Source organism: Homo sapiens, chromosome 14 (assembly GCF_000001405.40).
Source record: "Homo sapiens chromosome 14, GRCh38.p14 Primary Assembly".
In the NCBI taxonomy this organism is placed as follows: Eukaryota; Metazoa; Chordata; class Mammalia; order Primates; family Hominidae; genus Homo; species Homo sapiens.
In genome coordinates, this window is record NC_000014.9 from 35,531,856 (window position 1) to 35,547,546 (window position 15,691).

At 40.7% G+C, this 15,691-nt stretch overlaps 2 protein-coding genes across 22 annotated transcripts in view, besides 8 other annotated features; one reads left to right on the forward strand and one right to left on the reverse strand.

Annotated features, from left to right (window-relative positions):
• Nucleotides 1,103-1,927: an enhancer, noted in NCBI's record as "H3K4me1 hESC enhancer chr14:36002164-36002988 (GRCh37/hg19 assembly coordinates)". NCBI's record gives its function as "activates a minimal SCP1, AML or CMV promoter by ChIP-STARR-seq in naive H9 embryonic stem cells {active_cell/tissue: H9 hESC(naive)}" and the evidence as "EXISTENCE:reporter gene assay evidence [ECO:0000049][PMID:30033119]".
• Nucleotides 1,746-1,825: a silencer, noted in NCBI's record as "silent region_5677". NCBI's record gives its function as "represses an Ori minimal core promoter by ATAC-STARR-seq in GM12878 lymphoblastoid cells {active_cell/tissue: GM12878}" and the evidence as "EXISTENCE:reporter gene assay evidence [ECO:0000049][PMID:35858748]".
• Nucleotides 1,926-2,295: a silencer, noted in NCBI's record as "silent region_5678". NCBI's record gives its function as "represses an Ori minimal core promoter by ATAC-STARR-seq in GM12878 lymphoblastoid cells {active_cell/tissue: GM12878}" and the evidence as "EXISTENCE:reporter gene assay evidence [ECO:0000049][PMID:35858748]".
• Nucleotides 1,926-2,751: a biological region, named in NCBI's record as "H3K27ac-H3K4me1 hESC enhancer GRCh37_chr14:36002989-36003812".
• Nucleotides 1,928-2,751: an enhancer, noted in NCBI's record as "H3K27ac-H3K4me1 hESC enhancer chr14:36002989-36003812 (GRCh37/hg19 assembly coordinates)". NCBI's record gives its function as "activates a minimal SCP1, AML or CMV promoter by ChIP-STARR-seq in naive H9 embryonic stem cells {active_cell/tissue: H9 hESC(naive)}" and the evidence as "EXISTENCE:reporter gene assay evidence [ECO:0000049][PMID:30033119]".
• INSM2 (INSM transcriptional repressor 2) lies at nt 2,309-5,199 on the forward strand. The gene has a single exon (NM_032594.4). It carries the CDS (start codon nt 2,398-2,400, stop codon nt 4,096-4,098), a length of 1,701 nt encoding a protein of 566 aa, NP_115983.3. The 5' UTR covers nt 2,309-2,397; the 3' UTR covers nt 4,099-5,199.
• Nucleotides 2,752-3,575: an enhancer, noted in NCBI's record as "H3K27ac-H3K4me1 hESC enhancer chr14:36003813-36004636 (GRCh37/hg19 assembly coordinates)". NCBI's record gives its function as "activates a minimal SCP1, AML or CMV promoter by ChIP-STARR-seq in naive H9 embryonic stem cells {active_cell/tissue: H9 hESC(naive)}" and the evidence as "EXISTENCE:reporter gene assay evidence [ECO:0000049][PMID:30033119]".
• Nucleotides 3,256-3,405: an enhancer, noted in NCBI's record as "active region_8280". NCBI's record gives its function as "activates an Ori minimal core promoter by ATAC-STARR-seq in GM12878 lymphoblastoid cells {active_cell/tissue: GM12878}" and the evidence as "EXISTENCE:reporter gene assay evidence [ECO:0000049][PMID:35858748]".
• Nucleotides 3,576-4,398: an enhancer, noted in NCBI's record as "H3K27ac-H3K4me1 hESC enhancer chr14:36004637-36005459 (GRCh37/hg19 assembly coordinates)". NCBI's record gives its function as "activates a minimal SCP1, AML or CMV promoter by ChIP-STARR-seq in naive and primed H9 embryonic stem cells {active_cell/tissue: H9 hESC(naive and primed)}" and the evidence as "EXISTENCE:reporter gene assay evidence [ECO:0000049][PMID:30033119]".
• Nucleotides 6,501-15,691, reverse strand: part of RALGAPA1 (Ral GTPase activating protein catalytic subunit alpha 1) — a 270,940-nt gene continuing 261,749 nt past the window's right edge. For 11 of the 21 annotated variants that reach the window (NM_001346246.2, NM_001346243.2, XM_006720100.5 and 8 more), the window contains 2 exons: nt 10,172-10,174; nt 6,501-7,835 (listed from right to left, as the gene is read on the reverse strand). In NM_001346246.2, coding sequence (NP_001333175.1) covers nt 7,687-7,835; nt 10,172-10,174 — 152 coding nt within the window. In that variant the 3' untranslated portion in view covers nt 6,501-7,686. The other 10 variants (NM_194301.4, NM_014990.3, NM_001283043.3 and 7 more) reach the window with 2 other exon arrangements.

Consider the following 15,691-nt stretch of genomic DNA (forward strand, 5'->3'; position numbering starts at 1 on the left):
ATACATACTTTTTAAAGCTTCTGATGTAAATTGTTACAATGATTTCCAGAAAGGATGTTATTAAATTACACTTGGGAAGGGAAGGAGAGAGCTATTGGAACTATCGGATCTGGTAGAAAATATCTGACAGCAATTCTTACAAAGTACTATGCCCCTGGGGAAGAGTCCTTTCTCTCTCTGGAAAAGGGGTTATCTTAAAGTATTAAAATTATTACATCAGATTTTCCACACCACACAATATGTATGGATCATGAGGAGGAAAGGAGAATTGAGAATTTGAGTTAGAAGTCACATATAAGCTGACATGTCAGAAATGACCAATTTGGGAAACTAAGTTTACCAACACTGCTAAAGGACTCAAATATTTTAAACAGTGGTTCAGATATTGTGATTATGCAGTATCAGGTTTATTTAATTTTGTATCATTTCATGCTATTTAATGAGACAATATAATGAGTGTTTTTCAAACTGTGGGTCCTAATCCATTTGTAAATTATGAAATCAATGTATTTTCTATGACTGCTATTTTTAAGAAACAAAATACAATACAATGAAAAATATGAGAATGCACTGCAAACATTTCAATGTATGATTTCATAATTTACAAATAGATTAGGACCCACAGTATTATTTTGTGAGACTTTTGTTTCAGTTACATGTGTGTATATACTATAGAACACATTTATTATTGTGGGATGTGATTAAGGAAAAAAATAGTTTGAAGCCATTGGTGTAGTGGAAAGAGTCTGGGCTTTGGAATTAGCCAGAACAAGTTTGAATCTGAGCTCTGCTTGGCTTTTACCCATTATCTAACTAAATGGCTCAATCACCACATTGAAAAAAGAGAGAAATAATATCTCCTTTTTGGTTTGTGTGTGTACATGTTGTGTGCGTGTGTATGAAGATTAGAGATTACTTAAGCAGAATGCCTATAACATAGTCAATGATTAATATATAATTACTTCCAAATCTTTCTCAAAATAATGTTCTCCCTGTAAAAATACTTCACTGAAGAAAGACAATGTGTTTTATTGATGACTACATCTGTTATGCTATCGTGTACTTTTAAAACACCTCTGTCAGTCTTTTTCTCCAATTTGGTTTAGTAAGGAGACTTGTGCACATAGTCTTTCCCCTTCCTGTTCTCACACTTTATTTACCTATATTATGGATCTTGGCACTTTATATCTGTCATAGATGGTCTAATTGTTGCCTAGTTCAATTACTACTAAACACTTTCAAACCTCTTCTAGTTCTCAAAATAGTGGTGGGAGCATTGCAGGGTGCCAGATGAAAATCTGTTGAGTTTGCTCTACAGCACACCTTTTGCAAAGTATCACTTGTGGTGTACGGGGAAGCAGCTGTAATGCTGATTCCGCCGGCATTTCTCACTCAATCTACTCCATGCTAAACAGGCCGGTTAGGAATTAAGTCATACTCTGGGTAGTACAAGTGGAAAGTGTGAACAGAGAAACCACTTTATGCGAGGACAGTGGAAAATGAGATCCTCCTTTCCTCTCCCTACTCCTGCTCCTATCGAGAAGCACTTAAGAGCGCAGACGCCCAGGACCCAGCCGCGCTCGGGCGTCCCGACTCGGAGGCTGGCGGCGGGCAGGCACGCTCTCCCGCGCTGAGAGCCCTTCTGCGGAGATGAACTCTCGAGTGTCGCCGCCGCGCGCGGGCCCGATCGATACCGGCGGGCGGACGTGCTCCCGCCGCCGACAGCAGCCACAGGGCGGTGCAGTCAGCTGTCCGGCCGCTCGGTCGCACTTCTCATCAGCTCAATACCCGCAGAGGACGTGCACCGGTTCCCTCCCGGACACCCACCCCGTGGTCTCCGCCGCACCTTCTGCCCACCGCCCCTTCCGCTCGGCCGTCCGGCGCAGAGCGGGAGCTTTTCAGCCAGACGCCCTCGCGTTGGGGGCAGCCGGGTCCCGGCCCGAGCGGAGGGCGTCGTGAGGTGGCCTTTTCGCCCGGCTCCCCAGTGGGACGCTCCGCGGAGGCAGCCAAGGCGGGGAGTGTCGAGCTCCCTCACACTCTGGACCTTACCTTCTGGCGTCTTCGCCCGGGAGGCTGCAGGGGGAGGCGGACCCAGCCGGCCACAGGGGCAGGTTCGCGGCGCTGTGAGGCGGGGCTGGGCGTGCGCCGCCGCCGCCGCCAGATTCGTCTACTCCAGTGAATCGGCACGGGAGAAAGCCCCGCCCCCGGCGCCCGCTCCCACTCCTGATTGGCCGGGCCAGCCCGGGGAGGCCCGGCGGGACCCCGGCCCGCGTCTCAGCTATAAAGATAGCCCCGGCATGACAGCCGCGGCGAAGCTCTTCTAGTTCATCTGCTGGCCGGCTCTCAGTCCCCGTGGCGCCCCCTTTCCTCTTGTCCCAGAGCGCTCTCGACTCCACCATGCCAAGGGGATTCCTGGTGAAGCGAACTAAACGGACAGGCGGCTTGTACCGAGTTCGCCTTGCGGAGCGTGTCTTCCCTCTGCTGGGGCCCCAGGGGGCGCCGCCCTTCTTGGAGGAGGCTCCCAGCGCCTCCTTGCCCGGCGCGGAGCGGGCGACACCCCCCACCCGAGAGGAACCAGGAAAGGGGTTGACGGCGGAGGCGGCCCGGGAACAGTCGGGGTCGCCATGTCGGGCGGCTGGGGTGAGCCCGGGGACGGGCGGGCGGGAAGGCGCGGAGTGGCGGGCGGGTGGCAGGGAAGGTCCCGGGCCCAGCCCCAGCCCCAGCCCCAGTCCAGCGAAGCCGGCAGGCGCAGAGCTGCGTCGGGCGTTCCTGGAGCGCTGCCTCAGCTCGCCCGTCTCCGCCGAGTCTTTCCCCGGGGGCGCCGCCGCCGTGGCCGCTTTCTCCTGCTCCGTGGCGCCAGCAGCCGCACCGACCCCGGGGGAGCAGTTTCTGCTGCCGCTTCGGGCGCCGTTCCCAGAGCCCGCGCTTCAGCCGGACCCTGCGCCCCTCTCGGCCGCCCTTCAGAGTCTGAAGCGGGCGGCCGGCGGCGAGCGCCGCGGCAAGGCACCCACGGACTGCGCGTCTGGACCCGCGGCCGCGGGAATCAAGAAGCCAAAGGCCATGAGGAAGTTGAGCTTTGCCGATGAGGTGACCACATCCCCTGTCCTGGGCCTGAAGATCAAGGAGGAGGAGCCCGGAGCGCCGTCCCGGGGCTTGGGGGGCAGCCGCACGCCACTGGGGGAGTTCATCTGCCAGCTGTGCAAGGAGCAGTACGCAGACCCCTTCGCGCTGGCCCAGCACCGCTGCTCCCGCATCGTGCGCGTAGAGTACCGCTGCCCTGAGTGCGACAAGGTGTTCAGCTGTCCTGCGAACCTGGCCTCCCATCGCCGCTGGCATAAGCCGCGTCCTGCGGCTGCAAACGCCGCCACAGTCTCCTCCGCCGACGGGAAGCCGCCTTCTTCGTCGTCTTCGTCCTCCCGGGACTCCGGGGCCATTGCATCTTTTCTGGCGGAGGGAAAGGAGAACAGCCGAATAGAGCGGACTGCGGATCAGCACCCGCAGGCCAGGGACAGCTCCGGGGCGGATCAGCACCCGGACAGCGCCCCGAGGCAGGGCCTCCAGGTGCTGACGCATCCAGAGCCACCGCTGCCTCAGGGCCCCTACACGGAGGGGGTGTTGGGGCGCCGGGTACCTGTGCCGGGCAGTACCAGTGGTGGCAGGGGATCCGAGATTTTCGTGTGCCCATATTGCCACAAAAAGTTTCGTCGCCAAGCCTATCTGCGCAAGCACCTGAGCACTCACGAGGCGGGCTCGGCCCGTGCGCTAGCGCCGGGCTTTGGCTCCGAACGCGGTGCCCCACTTGCCTTCGCTTGCCCATTGTGCGGAGCGCACTTCCCTACAGCAGATATCAGGGAGAAGCACCGGCTGTGGCATGCTGTCCGCGAGGAGCTGCTCCTGCCCGCTCTGGCGGGGGCTCCTCCCGAAACGTCGGGCCCTAGCGGGCCATCTGACGGGAGTGCCCAGCAAATTTTCTCGTGCAAGCACTGCCCGTCCACTTTTTTTAGCTCTCCAGGGCTGACCCGGCACATCAATAAGTGCCACCCCTCAGAAAGCCGGCAAGTGCTGCTGCTGCAGATGCCACTGCGGCCTGGCTGCTGAGGGACGAGAGACCAGGATGATTTCGAGGTTGGCCTTAGAGGAAACAGATCATGGGAATTTCTGTGGGGCTTTCTTCAACTTGCAAGTTTACTTTCATTCCTTCCTATGTTTTAATCCCCTAAAATTCTCCCTGTAGTCAATGTTCCACCAGAGGAGCGGACAGTGAAATGTAATATCCCTCTCTAGAGCAGGTATGTATATGGTATAAACCTTGAGATCAAAGACTGTCAGCTTTAAATCCTTCTCACTTTCCCCACTAAAATAGGATTTTTCCCCTTAAAACTCTGGAGACCCTAACGAATCCTATATGATTTGTAATTCCTATGGAAAGTCGCGGTGAATGCGTGCATGTCTCAATGTCCACAAAGGATTCTGGCTACCCTTTGGTAGCCAATGTTTTTTTTGTCTTGTCATCACAGGCGCCTATACAGCTTCTGTCTCAATAGGGTCAGATATTTTGCACTGTATATTCTGTGAATTAAAAGTTATGTGATTGGTGTCAAACTTAAGGAGATTCAAGACCTGGCAGAAAATGTAAGAGGATTTTTGCTGCTTTTGGGGTGCATGGGGATCTCCCCTGTAAACTTTCCTTTGCCCAATTATATGTACATGTCCATTCTTAAGTTGGTGTTTGGAGGTGGGGAGGATGCTACTTTACTGGAGTTGAGACACCCCCTAAAATTCTCACCCTCAGCTATTTTGTGGGCAGTATTCAGGAAGAGCTACTTCAAACCTTTCTTTAAATGGCTTTTTGGAAATACAGAAGTCGTTTCCTCAAGTTTGACTGTTTTAATGGGGTTTCACCCAAATTGTTTAATGCTTCTGCTGTAAATGTCATACTGTGTATTCATTATGAAAATATGTACAGCTTAAGGAAGATGTTAACACCTGTAATCCACTAAGGAACTGAATGGCAATTTGCTCAATATTCAGTATTTTCTTTTCAGCGGCAACTTGTTTTTGATTTTTTTAAAAAACCATTTCAGTGTACATTGTGTACTAATTCCCTACTAGCCAGTTTGGGACATTGGCTGAGCACTGCCTGACAGAAAGCCCGTATTTGTAAGATGCTTACCACCAAATAAATGTACATAGACTGTGCTTTTGTTGTGTTCTGTGTTTGTCTTAAGAATCCTGTTGAACACAGCCTATTTTCAAAGCCACATTTCTTATCTCCCCAATGTCGGTATCCTGTTTTAGAATGTTAGTGACCCATTTGGACAGAATACAAAGACGGAAATATTTTGCAAATGAATGTGATGGTGCAGGAATGCAATGAAAAATTTTCCTTTGAAGTATGGCTGCAAAGACTGAGCTGCAAAAAGCAAGGAATATGCACTAGTCTTTGAATCTAAAAAAGACATCCCCCCCAAGAAATGTCAACCGAAAACATATTTTAAATATATATATATATATATTTCAAGCTAGTGAACAGTGTTACCTGAAGATGAAAAGAAGTATTTTAATGGTGCTAATTAATTTCATTATTTCAGGTTTGTATTTTTACTCCATATTGTTATATATCATCAATCCATTAGATTTTTTATAGCACTTTAGAAACATGTATGCAGTTACTCTGATTTTCCTTTTTGTAATTCTTCACCTTGGCTGTAGGAAATTGTCTACATTGTTCAATCTTCTTCCCAAGGACTCTATCCATTTGTTTATCTTCTACATCAGCTTACATAGGACTTTTAGTTTTCATTTATAAGAAAATGAAATTGGGTGCACAGAATTTCTGAAAGATTGTCTTAGAAACTTGTTAGTACGAAGTTTTATTGCTGAAAGTATATTATAAAACAAAGTAAAATTTAAGAATCAAAAAAACATGAAGCTGTAATCCCAGCACTTTGGGAGGCCGAGGTGGGCGGATCACGAGGTCAGGAGATGGAGACCATCCTGGCTAACACGGTGAAACCCCGTTTCTACTAAAAAACAAAAAACAAAAAACAAAACAAAACAAAAAAATTAGCCGGGCGTGGTGGCACACGCCTATAGTTCCAGCTACTCAGGAGGCTGAGGTAGGAGAACTGCTTGAACCTGGGAGGCGGAGGTTGCAGTGAGCCGAGATCGCGCCAGCCTGGGTGACAGGGAGACTCCGTCTCAAAAAGCAAAACAAAACAAAACAAAAACATGAAGCTGAGATAAACTAACAATCTAACCAACTGCATTGGGTGAATTTCTGGCCAGCCTTTATGAAGACAGAAAATTTCCTGTGTTTTTAACGACTGTGGTAGGATCTGTGAGAAATAAGTTGGAATGTATCTTGAAAAGGGAATTCAAGTTTATTTTTGATGATTAGCTAAGATAATCTAGGTTCATGCTTTAAATCTCCTCACTACTCATATAGCCCTGCTTATTGAAAATATATGAAACATAGAAGACAAATCAACACTCATGGATAGGAAGTGATAAGAATATTTTTATTGTATTATTAAATACCATGTCATCTTTCCCCCCCACTGTTACAAATTATAGATACTACATGAATGATGATACATAATTTATATTTTACGGTTTGCCAGTATGATGTATTTACACATGCAGTTAGTACCAATGTCATGCTACATTTCCTCAGGAGATGCCCATTCAAAACAAAATGTGAGCAGCTTATCTACTGTAAGAAAATACTTCTAGAGGGTGGAATGTATACCAACCTGGACCTGCAAGTTCAGTATTAACAATATTAGATTTAACTTAGACTCCTGGGTTATGTTCCTTTTTCTTTTTTAAATAATACTCATAATTTGAACAACATATTTATATCAGAAAATTTTCCTTCTTTTCTTCCCCATCTTCTTTTTGGTGCTTAAAAAAGAACATAGAAACACCAGGATCTAGCAGCCAATAATAAAAGGCCACAATCTGAAAACAAATGGCATTTAACAGTGATACCACTTGAAATGCAAAACATTAGAAAAATACTTGGAAGCTAAACATAAAAGTTCAGCACAGTGATTTTTCTAGTTATTGGATATAACATGGCATCACCTGCACAGCCAAGAAATGAGACATTGCTTTGGGAAGAAGAGTTAATACTAAAATGATTTCAGTTGGAATTTGAGATGCTAAAGACCATTTATTTTGAGTGTTTTATTGTCATAACAAATAATCTGTACACATTCTGTGTATTAACAGGTACATCTTTTGCTGTAACTTTACAAATGCTTAAATGTAAAATTTTACATTTGTAAAAAATTATATATTTATTGAACCATAAAGTTGCAATGGGGCACAATAAATAATGAGACTAATTGTCCAATTGTATTTTGGCTCACAGTTAACCATGAAATTAAAGATAAAACTACTTAGACATAATTATCTAGGAAGGTAAAGGGTGTAGAATAAAACTCCCCCTGCCCTCAAAATATGGCAGCTTGGATTGTGGGAAAAAAAATGAAACAATAAATAACTTAAATCTTTAATATTAAGCTACAAATTATTTAAAATTATTTAAATCCAGTGTTTTCTCAAATAAATGTACAGGAAGAAACATGCATGTTATGGCAGACATGAAGGCCTGAAAGGGTTAACCCTATGTTCGTGCTAAGGTGGCTACTGCTGATCACTGCTGGGCTGCTTGTCTCCTTAGGATTTATTGGCTGAGCCAGAGGAACGACGCAGCTTCATGGACATGCGGCTTTTGCTAGTTCGAGGAGACATTGGAGAGGCCAGGTCAGCCCCATCTACCTGCGTTGCTGTGGGAGTTTCACTGGGTAGAATCTCTGGGTAGGAGCCTGTAGGAAACAGCAAGAGCATTACTACAGTTATCCAGCCTCTCATCCCCTGAGAAATAATCTTTCTGCTACTAATCTGCAGCAAGGATCCCATCCCTTAATAAGATCTTTCGAGGGAAAAAGCAAGCCCCAAACTTGCTTGTTACAATAGCCTACTAATGTATTTAAAACCCAGCAATCTGGTGGCTCATGTCATTATATTAGCAAGAAAGCGCCAATCATCATTCCCAGGGCTAGAACCCTGGAAAAAGCAGTGGGAAGCAAAATCTTTGAGCCAGAAAGAACAGGGATCCAAAGCACCATCAGCATGCAGGGAAGGGGTCAAGAAGCAGGTGAGAAGGACCAATTCCTATCTCTAGGATTCAGGGTACAACCAAGAAAAGAGCCTTCACTACTCAAACTTGAAAAACAGCACCAAACAGTTCCAAACAGTTTTGGAACCACGGGTTTCAAAAAGGAAGTCAGTTTCACTAGATGCCCTTATAAACAAAACAAAACAAAAAAAGGAACTCAGCACTATGAGATCATATACATGCTAGGTATTTAAAGACGGCTTTAAGAAGGAGCAAGATAAATTTGTGGATGAGGGGAGGACAAGAATTCTCCTCTGAATGTCAGTTAAAAAAAGGCAAACTGACTCCCCCAAAATGTCTTAATTTAAAAGACATAAACAATGCTTTTGTTTTCATTAACTTAAACTTTTGCAGGTATCTTATTCAATCATAAGCAAGCAGGTAACCAGTAGAATTAGTAGATATACAATTTTAGAAGTAAAACAAAATCAAATAGGAAAGTTCTTTGTGTCATTTATAAAGTAGTTTTTCATCTCTGTGCTTTATTTCTATAAATTATCATTCTCTAATATGCAGCAATACTACAGAACCTTGCACACTGTAGGCTTTCAAATATTTCCTAAACAAAATGAGTAATTAATTAAAATCACATTAAAAATAAAAGTCCTTCAGAAAAAAAAATCTGAAAACAATAACAGCAAGAGATTCTGGATATTTTAAGGCATTTTAATCCAGATTTTCTGGGTCTTAAGTACATGAAAATTTTCTTTATGTGTTTTACAAACAAAAACACCACACAGGTTGCAGGTTTAACTGTACACATACATGTCCTTACTTTACAGGGAGACTTTCAGCATATTTGTTAGCCAATGTAGCACCTCATTGATACTTCAAACTAGGAAATAATTATGCTAGCACTTTCATATCTATGAAATGTTTTGTGCTTAAACTGAAGTTACTGAATGTTTATAAACAAAAACAAAAAGTTCAGTAAGGGGTGAAGATCCTATTGAGATGTCTTAAGCAATTAAGAATATGTCTTTGCAGAACACTTCAATTTTTTTTTTTTTTTTTTTTTTTTGAGACGGAGTCTCACTCTGTCGCCAGGCTGGAGTGCAGTGGCACGATCTTGGCTCACTGCAATCTCCACTGCCCGGGTTCAAGCGATTCCCCTGCCTCAGCCTCTTGAGTAGCTGGGACCACAGGTGCGCACCACCACGCCCGGCTAATTTTTTTGTATTTTAGTAGAGATGGAGTTTCACCATGTTGGCCAGGATGGTCTCAATCTCCTGATCTCATGATCCACCCTCCTGGGCCTCCCAAAGTGCTGGGATTGCAGGCGTGAGCCACCGCACCCGGCCTTCAAAAAGTTTTTAAGACCAAATGTTAGAGTTATACTTAAGAAAAAATATATGTTTCCAAGGAAAAATATTCTGTCACTCATAATCCAGGTCAATTGCCCTTCTTCTCAAAGTAACTTTTCCAGCATTATTTTCTAATTGAAATAAGACTGGCCTTCAAAATACAAGGAGAAGGAAACATATTTCTGTTCACCTTTACTCTTCCTGAAGATCTGAATTGGTTCATAGCAGACCCATACTGGAAAATTTATGGGAGAATATGAATCCATGACCCCCTTTAGGGAAGCACTGCAGATGGATGGCAGAAGGAAAGTGAAGAGCAGTAGTAGCTCATGCTTTTCTGGTAATGCATATCATTCCCGGCCATCACGAGAGGCCCTCCCATTGCTGTTTACCTTGAGATGGCCAATGTTTTCTAGCGGAGGTTTTGGGAGGAAGAGAACTATCACTGCATTTCTTTCTTTGTTGTGAATGAAGAAATGGAGTAGCAAGCAGAAGTGAGAAAGCAAAAGAGAAGATAGATAACAGATATGAGAGACACAGTGCAGAATTTTCTAGGTGTTAACTGAGGAGCAGAGAGAGAGGAATCAAGGTTTTTATTATGAAATATAATTGGGCATGCAATGCATTAGGGTGATGGTTCACAATGACAATGCTTTGTAAATTCAAATGTTATACTTACCAACTAACAAAACAAGTTCAAATAGGAAAAAAGAAAAGAAGAAAAAAGGTCTATGAGAGATTCTGTAAATATCTACCTTTTAAAGTGTTCACTGTACTGTTGGCATGTTATCCTAATCACTCAGACATAAAATCTCTAGAGCTGCATTGTCCAATGTGGTAGCCACAGCCACATTAAGTTTAAATTTATTGAATTAAAATGAATTAAATAAAAATTCAGTTCCTCAGTACACTAGCCACATTTCAATTGTTCAACAGCCACATGTAGTTAGCGGCTTCCACATTAGACAGTGCAGATATAGAACATTTCCATCACCATAGAAGGAGGGCTTTATCAGAGAGCATTGCTCTACATTATGGCAAACTCAAATAATATTTTCCTCAAAAACAATTCTTCCATGTCTTCCTCACTGCCTTTAAAGTGAAATCTCCCTTCACTCAACAGAGTCAAATAAGGATTTTTAGTGTGTGTGGTGTATAGTTATCAGTACTTCCTAACAATTTAGCAAATTACATTTGTGGTATATATTCAACATTCCCAAACTCTATAAATAATTTACAGTAGAAAGACCTCAATTTTAGATGTAAAAAATGTAGTAACAACCTACATTTCATTTCACATCCTACTCTACCTATTGATTTATACTACTTGAGTCATAAAGAATGCTGATTTATTTCTATTATTAATATATCCTCAAGGATGAGGTTTTAAAAGTACACATGAGCTCCTATGTTTGTGCATACCGTATCTGTTACTAACATTCTTACAGTGCTCACACAGACTGTGTAATCTGATGGGATAAATTGATTCATATATTGCACATTGATTACAATAAACTATTATTACAATTAACATAATGGATATGACTTTTGGGATATATAGGGATTATAAGAGGGAGCTCAAAAGATCATTTTTTATTGTGGTTTCGTTTGTACTGTTTGGTGACAGGTATGACTGGTTTAAAGCTGCTAATTATTGGGCAGATATAGCCCTATAAAATATTATATCTTTAAAAGCAATTTCAATTAATACTGAACTCCAGCGACGATGTGATTTGTTAGAAAGAACATGGGCATAGGTTAGACAGTCCTAGATTAAATGCCGACTCTGTCACTTTACCAGCTGTTTGATCTTGGGCAAACTGACTTGAGACATTTTTGTATTCGTAAAATGGAGCTAATACTTGCAATTTTGTCAAGTCATCCCAGGGATTAAGATTACATATGCAAAGATATTGGCACATAGTAGGAGCACAGTAAGTATAGCTACATAATAATGCTATTAAACAGAGAAAAATAAAAGCTGATACATTTTGAATCAGAACAGATGAGGATTAGAAACGAAGGGATAGAAATGAGGAACATTTTTGAAGAAAATGACCACCTATACAAAATATTATTGTTCAAATGTGAAAAGCACAACATACCATTAAATTTAGTTTGAAGGAAATTTATCCTCTCTTATGTTGATAGTCCTATAAAATATAACCTTATATTAAAGGTTAAAGGCTACCCAAATAACCTTGCTTTTAATATTTTTAAAGGAGTTGATAAGTTATTAAGATTAGCATGGATGGCACTGAATATCATAAAGGAAATAACACAATTTATTTTTTATTTTTATTTCTTTATTTTGAGAGGGAGTCTCACTCTGTTACCCAGGCTGGAGTGCAGTGGCGCGATTTCAGCTCACTGCAGCCTCTGCCTCCCGGGTTCAAGTGATTCTCCTGCCTCAGCCTCCTGAGTAGCTGGGATTATAGGCGCATGCCATCATGCCCAGCTAATTTTTGTGTTTTTAGTAGAGAAGGGTTTTGCCATGTTGGCCAGGCTGGTCTTGAACTCTTGGCCTCAAGTGATCTGCCTGCCTCAGCCTCCCAAAGGGTTGGGATTACAGGCGTGAGCCACCATGCCTGGCCAGGAAATAACATAATTTAAAATAGTAGAGAAATAAAGGCAAACATGTGGTTTCATTTTAAGATACATTCAAGAACTACTAGTATTTTAGATTTAGAACAAATCAGGCCAAGCTTGTCATATTTTACCTCCTCCTTACAAAGGAAAAAATTGGGAGAATTGATTAATTTGCATTTATATGGATAACAACTGGCAGAACTAGGATTTAAATCCAGATTAGTTTGATTCCAAAGCTCATACTTCTCCCCTGGCAACCTTAAAGATATATGGGGGAAAAGAGATTTTTCAATGGGTGGGAAAGTAAAACCCTTAAAATAAAAATCTTTAACAATTTATAATTTGTAAATATGACAGGTTATTGGGCAATATCTCTCTATCAACAGCAGGAAGGGGATGAAAATATTTAGACTAAATGGGTAACTGTAATAGTTAAGATCATGCCCTCTGAAATCAGATCAGTCTAGGTTGAAATACTAGCTTGACAAAGTACCAGGTGACTCTGGGTAAGCATTTTTTAATTTCATAATGTATGTACAGTACCGAGCACAGTGTCTGGCACTCAGTAATAGCACAATTATTATTTTATTATTTTCATTACAAAAATTTCACATCTCAGTGAATGTTCTATGTGGAAACTGAACCAGCAGTTATCACAAAAGGTTAGTGGGTCTTATTTAAGATTATTACTTGCCTCTTGGTCAACAACATATAAGCCAAATTTCCAAGTTCAAAGTATCAAATAGAACATATCTGGCTGCCTATAATTTCAGGCTAATCTAATGATAAATTAATATGCGTAGGAATCTGTTTTTAAAAACATTAATTAGCCAGGTATGGTGACTCAAATCTGTAACCGCAGCAATTTGGGAGGCTGAGGTGGGTGGATTACCTGAGGTCAGGAGTTTGAGATCAGCCTGGCCAACATGGTGAAATCCTGTCTTTACCAAAAATACAAAAATCAGCCAGGAGTGGTGGCATGGGCCTGTAATCCCAGCTACTTGAGAGGCTGAGGCAGGAGAATTGCTTGAACCCGGGAGGTGGAGGTTGCAGTGAGCCAAGATTGCGCCACTGCACTCCAGCCTCTGTCTCAAAAAAAACAAAAACAAAAACCAAACCATTAAATAAACAGATTTATAGCTTATGTTACATATTGCAGGCAACTAATTCTTCTGTTGGCACTTACTAATATTTAAGATATTTATAAAATAACTATCTTCTAAGGAGCTAAAATATTTTATTTCAGATCATTTCAAAGCCTGAGTAGTTTAAATAACTTTTAAAGGACATTGAGCTAAAAAAGGTTACCTAAAGCAATGGCTAAATTTTGATGATCCATCCCACTCAAAGATTCAAAGAAATAGATCTGACCATCATAAATTCCATCCTATCTACATATGGGAATATAGATTTTGCAAATTAACAGCACAACTGAGGTTAGAAGGCAGACTAGATACTACTCTAGGTTTTCATAGTCACTCTTGATTATCTCTGAATTTGGTATCATAAAAATTATATTTGAATTTTATTAATTTTATAATATTGCTTTAAATAGGAACCCCTATATTCTCCAAAAGTAATTATAAAAAGTGTTATGTATGTATAGATATATGTTTGTGTATGTATATATATGTATATGAATACAGAAAGACAGAAACACCTATCAACACTTTAACTGTAAATAACTAAAATCTGTAACTTAAAGACATAATACTCCAAAAAATTATGAGTATATTTTTAATGTTGAAATTGAGAAAGTTAAACCAATTAATATTTACTATACACTTTCAGCAAAACAGGATCCTGTTTCTTGTTGTCATTCTAGAATTTCTCTTATTACAAAATAAAAAAAGATAATATTGAAAAGACAATATAACATTGGGAGAAACATGTACATATGAACAAACAGTGTAATCTGGCCAAGAAGAGCAGTAATTTCATTTTAAAGTTTATAATTAAAGGAGAGGTATTTGTAAATATGAAAAAACTTTAAGAAGTCACTAAAAACTTTTGATATTTTCCACACACATGCCTGACAAAGATAAAGGGATTTTTTCCTGTAATTTTTTAAAAATAAAAGACAAGAAAAATCTAATAATATTTTAACGTAGTTATGAAAGATCAACAAAGTGTGACATCACGATATTTCCCTCAATGACCTTAGGGATAAAAATAATTTCCCTTAAGTATCAGTCTACTGCCACAGACAGTACATTTTGAGAAAATACAGTTATGAAATTTATGGATCAACTATGATGCACCAAAATCTTTCATATCTATTTTAATAATACTGAAAGTAATACGGAAAAATGTTTTCTCGGATTTAAATGTCACCACAGTTGATTTGCACGTTACCGCTAACCAGAAAGTGGGCTTTAGATAATCTTGAACCAAATTAAGAAATCTTAAAAAAATAATGCTAAATGACGAGTTAATGGGTGCAGCACACCAGCATGGCACATGTATACATATGTAACTAACCTGCACATTGTGCACATGTACCCTAAAATTTAAAGTGTAATAATAATAATAATAATAAATATTATTTTTCTATACTATTCCACTGAATATAATTATGTTATAGGGTTGGTTAGACAGAATATAATCACCATTTTGGCATTTCTTTAAAATTTAATTTCAAATGACCATATTAGTATTGATTAGTACTATTTTATATACATAGGGTGTGCACAGGATATCTAAAGTTGATTTTTCAATTGCAATTATGAATCCATTTTTTCAATGTGGTGAACACATTTTATACTTCTGCTAGGAAAAAGATTAAAAACTTTACACTATTATGTCATTTTTGCAAACCAGCAGTCAGGTCCAAACTGCTATTATACAGCTTATTTTATGTCTTCTCTGTCCACTTTGACTTATAACTTTAAAGGGAGCTCTATATGTATGGGACTTATGACAGAAAAGTTAAGATTTGAGATAACTGGAAAAAAATTATTTTTCAGATTCTATGTTTTTGCTACTCTTAAGAGTAAATATTTCATTTTTATTTTGTGTTGAACTGAGAACCACTCTGATAAAAATTTATGTCATAACTATTAAAGTCTGCAAAAACTTATATAGAAACGTATTCAGTAATACTGGCACAAGTTATTTACAAGCAAAAACACCCTTTTGAAAATCAGAGTGCATATTAAAATTAGAGGATGGTTCTTAAATGCAGTGACAACTCTTAAAAATTAACTGAAAAAATCTGTAGCACAATATTAGGTTTATGTTCAAATTCACATTTTTACTACTATTTAGACAATCATAAGTGTTATTTTAAACAACTTACACAATAATTTTGTAAGACACATTAAAAATGAAGCCAACAGAACCCTGACTTGGCTGCTGTAGCATCCTTTAATGTCTCAGAAGTGAGATACTACTCACTTCCACAATACCTGGCCAAATGTGCAGGATAACATGCAAAATATGGGGAGAACATTAAGATGACAAATACGAAAGAGTACAGCTGGTAAACAACGACACATGAGAACTGAACAGCCTTTATCAATCTAAGGGGGAAAGTTAGTCCAAGTGTGGTTCTATTATCAATATTTTTCACTTGTGAAATTTATGGCTTGACTATAGGATACACAAGTGT